The sequence below is a fragment of the Homo sapiens genome, chromosome 6 (assembly GCF_000001405.40).
Source record: "Homo sapiens chromosome 6, GRCh38.p14 Primary Assembly".
Lineage (NCBI taxonomy): Eukaryota > Metazoa > Chordata > Mammalia > Primates > Hominidae > Homo > Homo sapiens.
In genome coordinates this window covers 169456726-169473272 of record NC_000006.12, presented here as the reverse complement: position 1 = coordinate 169473272, position 16547 = coordinate 169456726, and the positions used below count along the sequence as shown (strand labels likewise).

At 39.5% G+C, this 16547-nt stretch overlaps 1 protein-coding gene across 11 annotated transcripts in view; it reads left to right on the top strand.

Annotated features, from left to right (window-relative positions):
* The window catches only part of WDR27 (WD repeat domain 27), a 275610-nt gene that overhangs the window by 228757 nt on the left and 30306 nt on the right, over positions 1-16547 (top strand). For 5 of the 11 annotated variants that reach the window (XM_017010669.2, NM_001202550.2, NM_182552.5 and 2 more), the window contains one exon: positions 15639-16061. The exons of 3 other annotated variants lie outside the window; for them this stretch is intronic. In XM_017010669.2, the coding sequence (XP_016866158.1) occupies positions 15639-15689 (51 nt within the window). In that variant the 3' untranslated portion in view covers positions 15690-16061. Of the gene's footprint in view, positions 1-14808; positions 15053-15638; positions 16062-16547 lie in introns of those variants that run through there. 3 more of the 11 variants (NR_146875.2, NM_001350623.2, XM_047418584.1) reach the window with 3 other exon arrangements.

The window sequence follows — 16547 nt, the reverse complement described above, 5'->3', positions numbered from 1 at the left end:
TGATGTGGACAGAGAGCTGGGTCAAGTGGCACATCTTCTGTTTACATGGACAGAGACCGGACATTAAGAGATCTGGTTCCTAGCCAAATTCAAAGTGTATTCATGTGAATAAGTCCTAATATGTTTATCTGCTGGACTTTGTTGCTTTTTCTTTGTTGCCATTTTCTTTTTCTTAATGGTTCAAGAGTTTGGAAATAGAAGTGCCAACAGCTATCTGAAAAGTATTTTTATGTTGTTTCAAGAGCTGTCCTAGGCAAGTTATTAATGTTCCAATATGTCATTAGTATAAAATTTGTAGCAGTGTTTTGCAGACTGAGTTATTTAAAACAGATAAGCCTCACTTAAAAAAATCTAGAATGTGTGTGGCTTAACATTGCTGTCTCTGATATAATCCAGTTAAGGAGAAATTTTAAATTTGACATGTCTATGAGGGTAAATTTATTTTGGGACTTTTAAATAAATGCAGTTTCACTCCAACATGAAATCAGATATGTTTTTTAGCCTTGAAATAATTAATTTCTCCCTCCAGAATAATAATGCTCACACAGGCCAAAACCTGCTCTATAAATATTAGTTTATTACTTATAGGAATAAGAGTAAGTTATATACTCAGTCTGAAATTTTCACATTTTTTCTTTCTTATCTATATCTATCATTTGTTTAATTCATAACATTTATGTAATGCTTTCTGTGTGTCTGGTATTATGATAAATGCTTTATATATATTAACTAATTCAATCCTTACAACTTTTAGATAAGTAATATTATTACCCCAATAATTGTCCTAAACTGAGGTAAAGAGAATTTAAGTAACTTCCCTCAAATCATGTAGCAAATGCATGGGAGAACCAAAGTTTGACTCTAGAGCCTGTGTTTGTAATCACTGCACAGAAACTATAGAAAATATTTTAAAATGTTAACCAAGTAATAAAAGGTCTTAGATGCTTCTCTGTGCTTCTTCTAATGGCTCTGCAAGTCTTCTCTAATGCAGGACATTTTATGTATGTATGTATCTAGCAGACTCAGGGCATTGCCTGTGTGAAATAAGCTCTAAAAAAGCCCTGTTATTGTTATTTCTCTTTTTTTATGTTTGATTCCCTTAATCAATTATGAAAGCAAACATCTATCAATGTCAATCTAAAAATGATCAGCCTAGGAAGCTACTGATGGATTGGTAACACATGACCTGCTATGGGCTGAATGATGGTGTCCCCTCAAATTTCATGTGTTAGAACCTAATACCCAATGTGATAGTATTAAAAGATGATTAAGTCATGAGGGCTCCACCCTCATGAGTGGGAATAACACCTTCTAAGTGAGGTTGGAGGGCATGCTCCTGCCCCTCCCGCCATGTGAGGAAGCAGCAAGATGCACCATCTTGGAAGCAGCGAGCAGCCCTCACCAGACACCAAATCTGCTGGTACCATGATCTTGGACTTCCCAACCTCCAGAGCTGAGCAATACATTTCTGTTGTTTATAAATTACCCAGTCTAAGGTATTTTTTATAGCAGCCCAGATGGACTAACAGATCACCTAAGATATTATTGGGACACCTTAAAACTAACAATGTCTTACGAAAGAAGAAATGTGACAATTTTGGAAAAGCCAAGGTGGTCAGGGAATACTTACTCTAATAAGTTAAGAGGCTAGAACATTTGTCATACCACTGTGGTTCTTTTCTATGGACACCTGTTTTCAGATGACATAGTATTCAAGCCATGGACATTTTAAAACTTGCCTCCTTAGCCTTTAGAATGGAAATAACTTTATTCGCTTTTCCTTTTTCTTGATGGTTTTTAAATCAAACTCATGAAAATGACTCCTACCTCATTTTAATTTAAAAAAATAAAATCTACTACTCTTTGAGGGCAGAAAGACACCTGGGATCTCTGAAACGAAGCTTTCCCAATTCTTTTGTAATTAAGAAGTTTGGAACCAACCTGAGGCCTTGTGGGAGATGATGATTGGCTGTGAACAACCATGCAAACTCATGGGTCAGGATGAAGACTGAGATTTGCAGCTATGGCTCTAGCTCTGTATTCTTAGACCTGACGCTGATTTCTTAGTTTGGTGCAAAAGTAATTGCAGGTTTTGCCACTGCAGTGACAAAAACCGCAATTACTTTTGCACCAACTTAATATGACTAGAACTGCACCAAGACTCTGTAGTCAGCCTAGGACTCAACTAGCTAGCCTCTAAATTTAGATGTTGCTGAGAAACATAGTAAATGGAAAAGCTACTATCAACCACCTGCAAGAGCGAAAGCCCCATGTGGCTGCACTTAGTGGGTCTGAGGGTGCTGGCATAGGTATAAATAGCACTCATTGCCCTTGTCTGAGTTCAGAGGCTGATTAGGGTTAGATATAGGAGTCAGACAGAATGAGAGCAGAATGCCACTTTTGTTATTTAAAAAGCTTATAAAGCCACATCTTGTGCTATGGACCAAATTGCATGCTCCTTTACCCCAAAATTTTTATGTTGAAGTTCTAGCCCCTGACATCACTATACTTGGAGATAGGGCTTTTAGGAGGTGATTAAGGTTAAAAGAGTTCATAGAGGTGAGATCCTAATCTGATAGAATTGTTGGCTTTGTAAGAAGAGGAAGAAAGATCTCTCTTCTGTCTGTCTCCCTCTCTTCCCACTCATGTGTAAACTGATGGAATGTCACGTGAGGACACAGTGAGAAGGCAACCGCGCAAGTCCTCACCAGAATGTGACCATCCTGGCATCTAGGTCTCAGACTTCTAGCTCCAGAACTGCAAATGATAATTTCTATTTTTCAAGCCATGTAGTATATGGTATTTTGTTACAGCAGCTTGAACTAAGACAGATTTTAGTAGCAGGAAGTAGAGTGCTGCTGCTGTAACAAATACTTACGAATGTGGAAGTGCCATTGAAAGGTGATGGATAGAGTCTGGGGGAGTTGTGATGTGCATGCTGCAGATGCAGACAATAGTGGTGACTCTGGTGAGGGTTCTGAAAGGAAACAGGAGAGCTGGAGAGAAAGCTTCTATCTTCTGAGAGGGAATGTAAATAATTATGAACAGAATATGGGTAAAAACAGGAATGTTAGAGGCCATCTGGTGGGGTCTCAAATGGAAGTGAAAATCACGTTACTGAAAATTGGAGGAAAGATCATCTGTGTTATAAAGGAACAAAGAAATTGGCTGAATTGTATTCTAGTATTTTGTGCAAAGTAGAACTTGTGAGCAATGGAATTGGATATTTAGCTGAGGAGGTTTCTGAGCAAACAATTGAAGGAATGGCATGGTTCCTCCTGATTGCTTACAGTAAAATGAAGATTTGGAAAATTATTAGCCTATCAGTATGGCAAAAAATAGGAAAGCTTGTTCTAAAAAGACCACTAAGGGTGTGGCTAAAAAACATTTGTTAAAGAGATTATGGGTGTAACTCATGGACTTAATCAGCTATCTCAGCAGATGCTGGGAATAGAGATGGGATTATACCAGTGGAAACATTGCCAGTGTAAACTAATGGGAACAGAGAAAGAGGAGGAACAGAATGAAGGAAGCCTGTCAGGTGCTTTGGAGTCTATAAAACAGAACTGTAGGGCTCTTTGGCTGTAAATGTGCACTATTTCTCAAGAAAAGGGAATGATCCTGAAGATGATTCAGTGGTGAGCAGGGCTGCCACTCCCACCACAGGCCCCATCAGGCAGCGCTAATTCCCATTTGGTTTCACAGGGTACAGCTTGTCTGGCTTTAGTGGGTCAGGAATGTCCCTGCTCAGTGCCTTGGGAGGGACCACTCTCCAAGTCATGGAGATGCTGCTGCCACCCCAGTGGGCCTGAGGGCAGGGCATGAAGCTGAGAGGGTTTTTCTCAAACCTTAAAATTAAATGGAGTTTGCCTTGCTAGGCTTTGGGCTTCCTTGGGACCTGTCACCCCTTCCTTCTTTCCTGTTTCTCCCTTTTGGGATGGGAATGTCTATGTTATGCCTGTCCTACCATTGTAATTTGGAAAAATATAACTTTCGTTTTCAAAGGTTAACAGATAGAGATTTAGATGAGACTTTGGACTTTTAGACTTTAGAGTTGATGCTGGAATGAGTTAAGACTTTTGTGTCTGTTTGGATGGAATGAATATATTTTACATGTAAGAAGAACATGAGTGTACAGGGGCCAAGGGCAGAATATTCTGAAGCACTTGTATTTCCTCAAAATTTATATGTGGAAGGCCCAACCCCCAGTATGACTGTGTTTGGATATAGGCCTTTTAGGAGGAAATTAGGGTTACATGAGGTCATAAGAGTGGAGTCCTAATTCTATAAGATTGGAGACATTATAAAAGAAGAAGAAAGAGAGATGTTTCTCTCCACATGTGCCAAGGGAAGGCCATGTGAACACAAAGTCAGAAGGTATCCTTCCGCAAGCCAGGAAGAGAGCCATCACCAGAACTCAACCAAGTTGGCAAGTTGGTCTTGGATTTCCAAGCCTACAGAACTGTGAGAATTACATATCTGTGTTTAGGCCCCCCATCTATGTTATTTTGTTATGGCAGCCTAAGCAGACTGAGACATCTGGCAAAAGAGCTTGTTAATACTCTCCTGAATTTACCCTCAAAATGCAGATCCTGCCCCGCCAAGTTAATATTTGGTGGACAGCTGATATGATTTTGCTGTGTCCCTGCCCAAATCTCATCTTGAACTGTAGTTCCCACAATCCCCATGTGTCATGGGAGGGACCTGGTGGGAGGTAATTGAATCATGGTGGTGGTTACCTCCATGCTATTCTCATGATAGCAAGTAAGTTTTCACAAGAGCTGATGGTTTTGTAAGGGGATTTCCCCCTTTTTCTCAGCAATTCTCCTCCTACCATCATGTGAAGAAGGACATGTTTGCTTTCCCTTGTGCCATGACAGAAAGTTTCCTGAGGCCTCCCCAGCACTGCAGAACTGTGAGTCAGGTAAACCTCTTTGGGTATCTTTACAGCAACTTTGAAACTGTGTAACAGGCAGAGGTTGAAAGAGTTTGGAGGGCTCAGAAGAAGACAGGAAGATGTGAGAACGTTTGGAATTTCCTAAAGACTTGTTGAATGGCCTTGACCAAAATGCTGATAGTGATATGGACAATGATGGACAATGAAGTTCAGGGTGATGTGGTCTCAGATGGAGATGAGAAACTTTTTGGGAACTGGAGTAAAGGTCCCTCTTGTTACACTGTAGCAAAGAGATGGGCAGCATTTTGCCTATGCCCTAGAGATCTATGGAACTTTAAACTTGAGACAGATGATTTAGGGTATCTGGCGGAAGAAGTTTCTAAGCTGCAAAGTGTTCAAGATGCGACTTGGATGCTCTTAAAAGCATCAAGTTTTATGTATTCACAAAGATATGGTTTGGAATTGGAACTTACGTTTAAAAGGAAAGCAGAGCATAAAAGTTCAGAAAATTTGCAGCCTAACAATGTGACAGAAAACAAAAACGTATTTTCTGAGGAGAAATTCAAACTGGCTGCAGAAATTTGCATAAGTAATGAGGAGCTAAATGTTAATCACCAAGACAATGGGGAAAATGTCTTCAGGGCATGTCAGAGCTCTTCATGGCAGTGCCTCCCATCACAGGCCCAAGGGCCTAGGAGGAAAACATGGCTTTATGGGCTGGTCCCAGGGCTTTGCTGCTTTGTGCAGTCTCAGGACTTGGTGCCCTGCATCACAGCCGTGGCTAAAAGGGGCCAACATACAGCTCAGGCCATTGCTTCAGAGGGTGGAAACCCCAAGCCTTGGCAGCTTACACATGGTGTTGGGCCTGCAGATGCACAGAAGTCAAGAATTGAGGTTTGGGAGCCTCCACCTTTATTTCAAGGATGTATGGAAACACCTGAATGTCCAGGCAGAAGTTTGCTGCAGGAGTGGGGCCCTCATGAAGAACCCCTACTAGGACAGTGCAGAAGGAAAATGTGGGTTTGGAGCCCCTACAGAGTCCCCACTGGGGCACTGCCTAGTGGAGCTGTGAGAAGAGGGCCACCATCCTCCAGACCCCAGAATGGTAGACCCACCAACAGCTTGCACCATGCTTCTGGAAAAGCTGCAGACACTCTGTTCTAGCCCGTGAAAACAGCTGGGTGGGAGGCTGTACCCTGCAAAGCCACAGGGGTGGAGCTATGCAAGTTCATGGGAACCTGCCTCTAATGAGCATGACTGGGATGTGAGACATGGAGTCAAAGGAGATGATTTTTGGAGCTTTAAGATTTGGCTGCCCCACTGGATTTTGGACTCTTCTGGGACCTGTAGCCCCTTTGTTTTGGCCAATTTCTTCCATTTGAAATGGGTATTTACCCAATGTCTATACTCCCATTGGGTCTGGGAAGTAACTAACTTGCTTTTGATTTTACAGTCTCATAGGTCAAAGGGACTTGGCTTGTCTCAGATGAGACTTTGGACTTGAACTTTTGGGTTAATGCTGGAATGAGTTAAGACTTTGGGGGACTGTTGGAAAAGCATGATTGTGTTTTGAAATGTGAAGACATGAGATTTGGGAGGAGCCGGGGCAGAATAATTTGGTTTGGCTATGTCTCCACCCAAATCTCATCTTAAATTGTAATCCTCATAATCCCCATGTGTCTAGGGAGAGACCTGGTGGGAGGTGATTGGATCATGGGGGTGGTTGCCCCCATGCTGTTTGATTGGTTTGGCTGTGTCCCCACCCAAATCTCATCTTGAATTGTAGTTTCCATAATCCCCACATGTTGTGGGAGAGACCCAGTGGGAGGTAATTGAATTGTGGGAGCAGTTACCCTCATTTGTTCTCATGATGATGAGTGAATTCTCATGAGATCTGATGGTTTTATAAGGGGTTTTTCCCCCTTTGCTCAGTACTTCTCCTTTTTGCTGACATGTGAAGAAGGACGTGTTTGCTTCCCCTTCCACCATGATTGTAAGTTTCCTGTGGTCTCCCCAGCCATGTGGAAATCTGAGTCAATTAAACTTCTTTCCTTTATAAATTACCCAGTCTCAGGCAGTTCTTTATAGCAGTGTGAAAACAGACTAATACTACGGCATATAAGAGAGCTGGCCTTATTAAGCTGACTCCCTCCAAAAAAAGTGTGAGGATGGGCATGACTCATTTTTTATCCTAACCAATATATTGGGTGAGCCGTCTCTGCTTTTCTGGACAGAAACGGGGCAAGAGACCCATGTTCTGGGCTCCTCTCGACCTGAAACCCCATTACAAATAATAGTAAGAAGTTATAGAAATGTATTTCTTTTCCCAATTTTCTATTGTGGTAAAATACACATAAAATTCATCATCTTAACCATTCTTAAGTCTATAGTGAGTGGTGTTAAATATATTCATCACATTCTACAGTCACCACCACTATCCCTCTCCACAATTCTATCTTGTAAGCCTGAAACTTCATGCCCATTAAGTAATAATTCCCCATCCCCTTCCTCAGTCCCTGGCAACAACCATTCTACTTCCTGTATCTCTGATTTTGACTATTTAGGTACCTCACATTTATCTTTTTGTGACTGCTTTATTTCACTTTGCATAATGTCCTCAAGGTTCATTTATGTTTTAGCCTGTGCCAGACTTTCCTTCATTTTTAAGACTGAATAATTTGCCATTGTGTGGTCCACACTTTGCTTATCCATTTATCCATTGATGGATGCTTGGATTGCCTCCATGTTTTAGCTGTTGTTAAGAATGCTGCTATAAACATAAGTGTAGAAATATCTCCTAGAGACCCTACGTTCAGTTCTTTTGCATATATACCCAGAGGTGAAATTGCTGGATAATATGATAATTTTGTTTTTAATTTTTTGAAAAAAATTCATACTGTTTTCATAGCAGCTGCACCATTTTACATTCCCACCAACAATGAACAAAAGTTTAACTTTCTCCACAGCCTCACTGACACTTTTTATTTTGTTTTTTTAATAGTCATGTCCTAATGAGTGTGAGATGGCATCTCCTTGTAGTTTTGATTTGCATTTTACAAATGATGAGTGATGTTGAGCATCTTTTCTTTATTTCTTTTTTTTTTTTTTTTTTTTTTTGAGATGGAGTTTTGCTCTTGTTGCCCAGGCTGGAGTGCAATGGTGCAATCTCGGCTCACCACAATCTCCACCTCCCAGGTTCAAGTGATTCTCCTGCCTCAGCCTCCCAAGTAGCTGGGATTACAGGCATGCGCCCCCACACCCAGCTAATTTTGTATTTTTAGTAGAGATGGGGTTTCACCATGTTGGTCAGGCTGCTCTTGAACTCCTGACCTCAGGTGATCTGCCCACCTTGGCCTCCCAAAGTGTGCTGGGATTACAGGCATGCGCCCCCACACCCAGCTAATTTTGTATTTTTAGTAGAGATGGGGTTTCACCATGTTGGTCAGGCTGGTCTTGAACTCCTGACCTCAGGTGATCTGCCCACCTTGGCCTCCCAAAGTGTGCTGGGATTACAGGCATGGGCCACCGTGCCTGGCCGAGCATCTTTTCATGTGCTTCTTGCGCATTTGTATATCTTCTTTGGAGGAATGTCTATTCAAGTCTCTTGTCCATTGTTTAAATTGGGCTGTTTGATTATGTTGTTTAGTTTTAGGGCTCCTCTATATATCCTGGATATTAATTCTTTGTCAGACATCCCTTGTTAGAAGTGGAGAGTAGGCTGTTACCAGACACCAAATTTGCTTCTTGTCAGGTAGATGATTTGCAAATATTTTCTTAAATTCTGTGGATGCTATTTCACTCTTTTAATAGTACCTTTTTATGCACAAACTTAAAAAATTTTTCCACTTGTCTATTTTTTCTCTGATTGCCTGGGCCTTTGTTGTCATATCCAATAGATCATTGCCAACCCTAATTCTGGAAGCTGTTTGTCTATATTTTATTCTAAAATTTTATTATTTTGGATCTCACATTTACGTCTTTGATGCATTTTGAGGTAGTTTTTCTCTGTGCTGTAAGGAAAGGATCCAGCTTCATTCTTTTGCGTGTGGATGTCTATTTTTCCAAGCACCATTTGTTGTAAAGGTTGTCTTTTCTCCATTGAATGGTCTTGGAGCCCTTCTCAAAAATAATTTGACCCATATATGTGAAAGTTTACCTTTGGGCCTTCTATTCTATCCCATTTGTCTATAGGTCGATCTTTATGCCAGTGACATCTTGTTTTGATTATTGAAGATATGTATTAATAGTAAGTTTTGAAATCAGAAAGTGTGAATCCTCCAGTTTTGTTCTTCCTTTTCAAGATTGTTTTTACTATTCAGAGTTTCATATGAATTTCAAAATGGGTTGTTCTACTTCTGTAAAAAATGTCATTGGGATTTTGATAGGGATCATATTGAATCTGTAGATCACTGTGGGTAATATAGACTTTTTAGTGATATTAAGTATTCCAATTTATGAACATGGGAAGTGTTTTAATGAATGTCTTTCGTTTCCTTCAGCAATGTTTTGTAGTTTTCATTGTACAATTTAATTTCATCACCTTGGTTAATTCCTAAGTATTTTATTATTTTGATGCTATTTTAAATGGAATTGTTTTAATAATTTCCTTTTTAGAGTTTCAGATTGCTCATTGTTAGTTTATAGAAATGCAACTGGATTTTGCATGTTGACTTTATATCATGCTATTTTGCTGATTTTATTAATTCTAACAGGCTTTTTGTGAGTGGAATGTGTAGGGTTTTCTATCTGTAAGATCATATAATCTGTGAACAGAAATAATTTTATTTCCTTTTCAATTTGGGTACTTTTAATTTATTTTGCATGCCCAAATGCTCTGGCTTGAACTTTGATACCATTCTAAATATAAATGATGAAAGCGGGCATCCTTGCCTTGTGCCTGATCTTAAAGGAAAAGCTTTTAGTCTTTCACCATCGAGTATAATGACCTGTGGTTGGTTTTTCATATGTGATGCTATGGTTTGAATGTCTGTCTCCTCCAAAACTTACATTAAAATATAATTGTGATTTTGACAGTATTAAGAGGTGGGACCTTTAAGAAGTGCCTAGCTTATGAGAGCTTCATCCGTATGGGTGAGATTGGTGGCTGATATCAAAGGGCAAGTTTGACACCCCCCTCTGCCCTTTTGGCTATTCCACTCTTCTTCTTCCATGTAAGGAATAGTATTCCTCCCCTTTGGAAGTTGTAGTTTTCAAGATGCCATCTTAGAAATGGAAACCAGGCTCTTAGTGGGTACCAACTTGCTAACAGCTTGATCTTGGAATTCCTATCTCCAGAACGATGAGACATACTTTTTTTGTTGTTGGTTGTTTGCTTGTTTATAAGTTACCCAGTCTGGTAGTCTTTTATAGCAGCACAAAATGAAGTAATATATACAGCTTTTATTGTGTTGATGTAACTTCCTTCTATTCTTAGTTTGTTGGGGGTTTTTTAAATTATGAAAATGTGTTGAATTTGTCAAATGCTTTTTCTGCATAAATTGAGATGATCATGTGGGTTTTGTATCATTAATTTTATTAATGACATTTATTGCATTGATCAATTTTTGTTGAACCATCTTTGGATTCCAGGAATAAATTCCAATTTGTCTTGATGCATAATCATTTTAATATGCTGCTGAATTCCATTTGCTAGTATTTTGTTGAGGATTTATACATCAGTGTTCATAAGGAATATGGGTCTGTTTTCTTGTGGAATCTTATTTGGCCTTGGTATTGGGGGAATGAGATAGGAAATGTTTCTTTCTCCTCAGTTTTTTGTAAAAGTTTCAGAAAAAATGGTGTTAATTCTTCTTCAGATATTTGGTAGAATTCACTGGCAAAGCCATCGAGTCTAGGATCTACTCTTTCTTTCTTTCTTTCTTTCTCTCTCTCTCTCCCCCCTCTCCTCCCTCCCTCTCTCTGTCTCCTTCCTTCCTTCCTTGAGACAGTCTCTCTCTGTTGCCCAGGCTGGAGTGCAGTGGCACAATCTCAGCTTACTGCAGCCTCCACCTCCCAGGTTCAAGCGATTCTCCTTCCTCAGCCTCTCGAGTAGCTGGGATTACAGGCACGTGCCACTACACCTGGCTAATTTTTAGTAAAGATGGGGGTTCACCATGTTGGCCAGGTTGGTCTCAAACTCCTGACCTCAGGTGACCACCTCGGCCTCCCAAAGTGCTGAGATTACAGGTGTGAGCCATCGTGCCCAGCCTAAGATTTTTCTTTATCAGGAGTTTTTTTTTTTTGGTTACTGATTCAATTTCCTCACCAGTTATAGGTCTATTCAAATTTTGTGATTCAGTCTTGGTAAGTTTTGTGATTCTGGGAATGTGTACATTTTATCTAGGGTATCCAATATGTTGGCATACAATTGTTAATAGTACTTTCTTACAATGATTTTATTTCTGAAGAATTAGTAGTAATGTCCATAACTTTCATTTCTGATTTGAGTAATTACTCAAATTACTCACTTATAAATAAGACTCACTTATTTATTTTTCTTAGTCCATATAGTTAGAGGTTTCTTAATTTCGTTTTTCTTTTCATTGAATCATTTTTTTGTTTCCTTGTTTTTCTCTGTTTTTCTTTTCTCCATTTTGTTTATTTTTGCTCTGATCTTTCTTATTTACTTCCTCTGCTAGCTTTGTGATAACACTTGTTGTTCTTTCTCTACTTTGCAAAGTTGTAAAGTTAGGTTGCTGATTTGGCTCTTCTTGTTTTGTTTTTTTTTTAATACAAGCATTTATAGCTATAAATTCCCCCCTTAACATTGCTCTTGCTGTGTCACAGATTTTTTGCATGGTGTGTTATTTTTATTCATCTCTAAGTATTTTCTGATTTTCTTATTATTTCTTCTTTGATCCCTTGGTAGTTTGAGTGTGTCATTTAATTTCCACAGTTTTTGACTTTTCAGGTTTAACTTATATTATCAATTTCTAAATTCATCCTATATGGTCAGAGAAGATACTGTGTATGATGTTTATCTTTTTAAATCTATTGAGATTTAATTTGTGGCTTAACATATGATCTATTTTGGGAAAATGTCCCATGTGCACTTGAGAAGAAGATGTATGCTGTTCTTGTTTGGTAAAGTGTTTAGCAGATCTACTTGGTTTATCATGTTGTGTAAATTCTCTATGTCCTTACCTATGTTCTGTCTGGTTGTCCTATCCATTATTAGAAGAGGAGTATTGAGACCTCCAGCTATTATTGTAAAACTGTTTATTTCTTCCTTAAATTCTACTAGTTTTTGCTTCATATATTTTGATGGTCTGTTATTAGGTATGTAAATGTTTATAATATTTATATTTCTTTGTATTATAGCTTTTATTAATCTGTAATGTCCTATTTTGTTTCTTTTAGCCTTTTTGACTTAAAGCTTTTTTTTTTCTGTTATTGGTGTATCTACCCCTGCTTTCTTTTGATCACCATTCCATTCAAAAGGAATGCATACGACAGCTTATGCAACTGACACTTGAACAACATGGGTTCAAACTGTGCAGGTCTGCTTGTATGTGGATTTCTTTAACCAATGCAAATAAAAATTGCAGTATTTATGGGATGTAAAACTCGCATATATGGAAGGCCAAGTTTTTGTATATGCAGGCTTTACAGGGCCAACTATGGGACTTGAGTATGTGCAAATTTTATTTTATATGGGAGTTCCTGGAACTAATACCCCAAGTATATTGAGAGGCAACTATAGTTGAATTATGTGTTTTTAATCCATTCTGTCAATCTGCCTTCTCATTGGAGAATTTAATCCATTTACATTTAAACTAATTACTGATGACGAGGGACTTAACTACTGTCATGTTTCTGTTTGTTTTCAATATACCTGATAGTTTTTTGTCCCTTATTTTCTGCATTACTGCCTTCTCTTCTGTTAAGTAAATTTTTTAGGTAAATGCTTCAGTTTCTTTCTCAATTTCTTTTATGTATATTTTATAGCTGTTTTCTTTGTGGCTACCATGGGAATTACATGTAGTATTCTAAAGTTATAACACTCTAGTTTGAATTTATACCAGTGAATTTCAGTAACACAAAAAATTATGTTTCTTTACATCTCTGTCCCCACCCATCAGTTGTTGATATCACAAAATTACATTTTTACATATTTTGTTCTCCAAAACATAAAGTAGTGATTCTTTTAAATGCATTAGTGTCTTCAATTATTTAGAAAATAAAATGTGGGGTTACAAACCAAAGTTATGATAATACTAGCTTTTAGACTAATAGTTTTTTTAATGTTTTAGTCTCTTAAATCATGTGGAAAACAAAAAGTGGAGTTATACAGTGTTGCTATAATAATACTAGCTTTTATAACTGCCCATGTACTTACCTTTATTAAGGTCTTTATTTTTTCATACACCTTCAAATTCCTGTCTAGGGTCCTTTTATTTCACCTTGTGGGGCTCCCGTACACATTTCTGGCAGGGCAGGTCTAGTGGTAACAAACTTCCTCAGCTTCATTTATCTGGGAATGTCTTAATTTTTCCCTTACTTTTGAAGGGCAACTTTGCTGGTATAAGATTCTTGGTTGAGAGTTTTTTGGGGGTTTTTTTGTTTGAGTTTTATTTTAGCCCAGGGAAAAAGACCATTGCCTTGTGGTCTGCAAAGTTTATTATGAGAAATCTGCTGATAATCTCAGAGAATCCTTTGTGTGTGATAAGACTTTTCTCTTGTTCCTTCCAGAATTCTCTCTTTGCCTTTGGCCTTTGAAAGTTTGATGATGATGTGTCTCAGTGTGGGACTTTTTGAGTTCCTCTTAGTTGGAATTTATTGAACTTCTTGGATATACATTTATATGTATACATTTATATACATATATAAATGTATATATATACATTTATAGCCATTTCATAAAATCAAATTTGGGAGTTTTCAACTGTTATTTCTTCTCCTGCAATGCATAAGTTGGTCCCTTTGATGGTGTCCCACATTCCCTTTAGGCTCTGTTCACTTTTTTCAGTGCTTTTTTTCTTTCTGTGCCTCAGACTTGATAGTTTCTATTTTTTCTTCACCTGCTCAAACCTGCCTTTGAATTCCTCTAGTAAATACTTTATTTCAATTATTTTATATTTTTAGCTTGAAAATTTTTTTGTTTCGTTTTAGGTTCTCTTTTTATTGATATTTCCATTTTGTTCATACATAATTTTCCTCACTTTATCCACATCTCTCTTAATTGTTTCAGTAATTGAAAACAATTGTTTTAAAGTCGTTGTGCTGTAGAAGTGCCATCAGATTGCTTTCAGAGGCAATTTCTATTAATTTGTTTATCTTTTTCCTCTGAATAGGCCATACTTTCCTATTTCTTTGAATGCCTTGTGATCTTTTAATTGAAAACTTGACAGTTGAATCTAGTATTGTGATAATTCTGAAGTAAAGTTCTCCCCCTTCTCCTGGGTTTGATTTTTTTTGTCATTGTTTTGTTTATTTTTGTTTATTTTGATTGTTGTAGCTTGACTCTGTGCCAAGGACCAGCCTCAGATATAAACTTCAAATCTTCTTAGTTCTTTTTTTGAGCCTTTCCTGTGGTATGCACAGTCACTTTCTTTTGTTTTCTTTTCCTTTGTTTCTTTTTTTTTTTTTTGAGACAGGGTCTTGCTCTGTCACCCAGGCTGGAGGGCAGTGGCATGATCTTGGCTCACTGGAATCTCCCCCTCCTGGGTTCAAGAAAGTCTCATGCCTCAGCCTCCTGAGCAGCTGGGATTACAGGTGCCTGCCACAACACAGCTCATTTTTGTGTTTAGTAGAGATAGGGTTTCACCACATTGGTCAGGCTGGCCTTGAACTCCTGACCTCAAGTGATCCACCCACCTTGGACTCCACAGTCACTTTCTAATTTTTCCCAAGTACATAGTTGTTTTTGAATGTCTGGCTCCTATACATTTTTTACTGTCTGGCTCCTATAGGGGGAAGAGAAAATTGAAGGAGGGTCAAGGGCGCTGACTCCTTCAATGCCCTGGAAGTTGCTTCTCCTGGAGGAAAGGGGCTTGTAGCCATGTGGGAACAGTAACAATGGCTGCTCGCCTATTTGCACCCTCTGTAAGAAGAAGCATCCATCGCTGATCAGAGAACAGGTCCCTGACATTTGGAGGATGGGTGCTTTCTGCCCATCCTGGGTTCTGCAGGCCCTATGGAGACCACTTTTGAAAGGTGTGCATGAGGGTGGGGTCAGGGAGGTGGAGCTGCTAATGTGCCAGAATCTGAAGTTGACAAAAATTAACCACAGTTTATAGTTCAAGTCTTCCTCTGGAAGTTGCAAGCCTTCAACAGACTCCATAAATTGAAAGTACTGGAAGTACGTACATCAGAGTTTGCCAGTACAGTTGCTATCTGGGTGGGGTGGATTCCTGGCACCACCACCACCTCCTCCTCCTCCTCCTCCTCCTCCTCCTCCTCCGTCAGGAGTGCTCTCCTGCGGCCAGCTCCTCAGCTCTGCCTGGAAGGAGGTGTGTAGGCGCTAACCAGGATGTTCCATGCCCTTTTGTGCACCATAGAGGGATCGGCTCTGACCAGGGCACCTAAAATTATTAAAACAGCAGTGAAATGTAGTTTGAATTAATTAATCATCAGCATAATATCTGTTGTATATATAGATTCTACTATGTTAATGTATTTTACTCGATGTTCCAGAACATTAAAAATAAGGAAAATAACACACTTTGGGCTTATTTTCTTATAGAGTTATCAATTAATAAAAGGCGATTGGAATTACATGGTATTTTATTTTCAATTACAGCTTGCCACAGCTACCTTGGATGGTAAACTCCAGCTCTTTCTAGCTGAGTAACCACTGACCTGTGAGCTGGGTCCAGGAATGCTGTGAGGAACAACTTAAAAGTAAGAAGTAGTGGTTCATCCATCAGGGGGCCAGAAGCAGCAACTGTTTTTCATATTTTGAGACTTGCCTCAGATTTCCCCCGTTTGCAAGCTCCTCCCCTCTGTGTGTGCCATGTCAGAGTTTTATGTCTTTCTGCTCCTCAAAAGGGATCCCCTTCATTGGGAAAATGGAAATGGCGTCCAGTACTTCTGCACAGAATTTGGTAAAGTTAAAACAAAATATCTTTCAATAAAACATAATATAGTATTTGTTTGATAATTAGAGTTGGAAGAAAAAAGAGAGAATTTCTTTTGGGCAGTGAAAATAAAGCAGTTAACAGTCCTAACTGGCTCTGGTCTTCTGATTAGTCGGCCCATGGCTCTGCATGGTGAGCGTGGGTTCTGTGTGGTGAGCGTGGCCTCTGCACATGGCTCTGCATGGTGAGTGTGGCCTCTTCCCGTGGGTTCTGCGTGGTGAGCCTGGCCTCTTCCCTAGGTTCTGCATGGTTAGTGTGGCCTCTGCTCGTGGGTTCTGCATGGTGAGGCCTCTGCCCATGGGTTCCACGTGCCGAGCATGGTCTCTGACTGTGGGTTCTGCTTGGTGAGTGTGGCCTCTGCCTGTGGGTTCTGCGTGGTGAGCGTGGCCTCTGACCATGAGTTCTGTGTGGTAAGCGTGACCTCTGCCTGTGGGTTCTGTGTCGTGAGCATGGGCTGTGTCCGTGGGTTCTGTGTGGTGAGTATGGGCTCTGCACATGGGTTCTGTGTGGTGACCGTGGTCTCTGCCCGTGGGTTCTGTGTGGTGACCGTGGCCTCTGCCCATGGGTTCTGC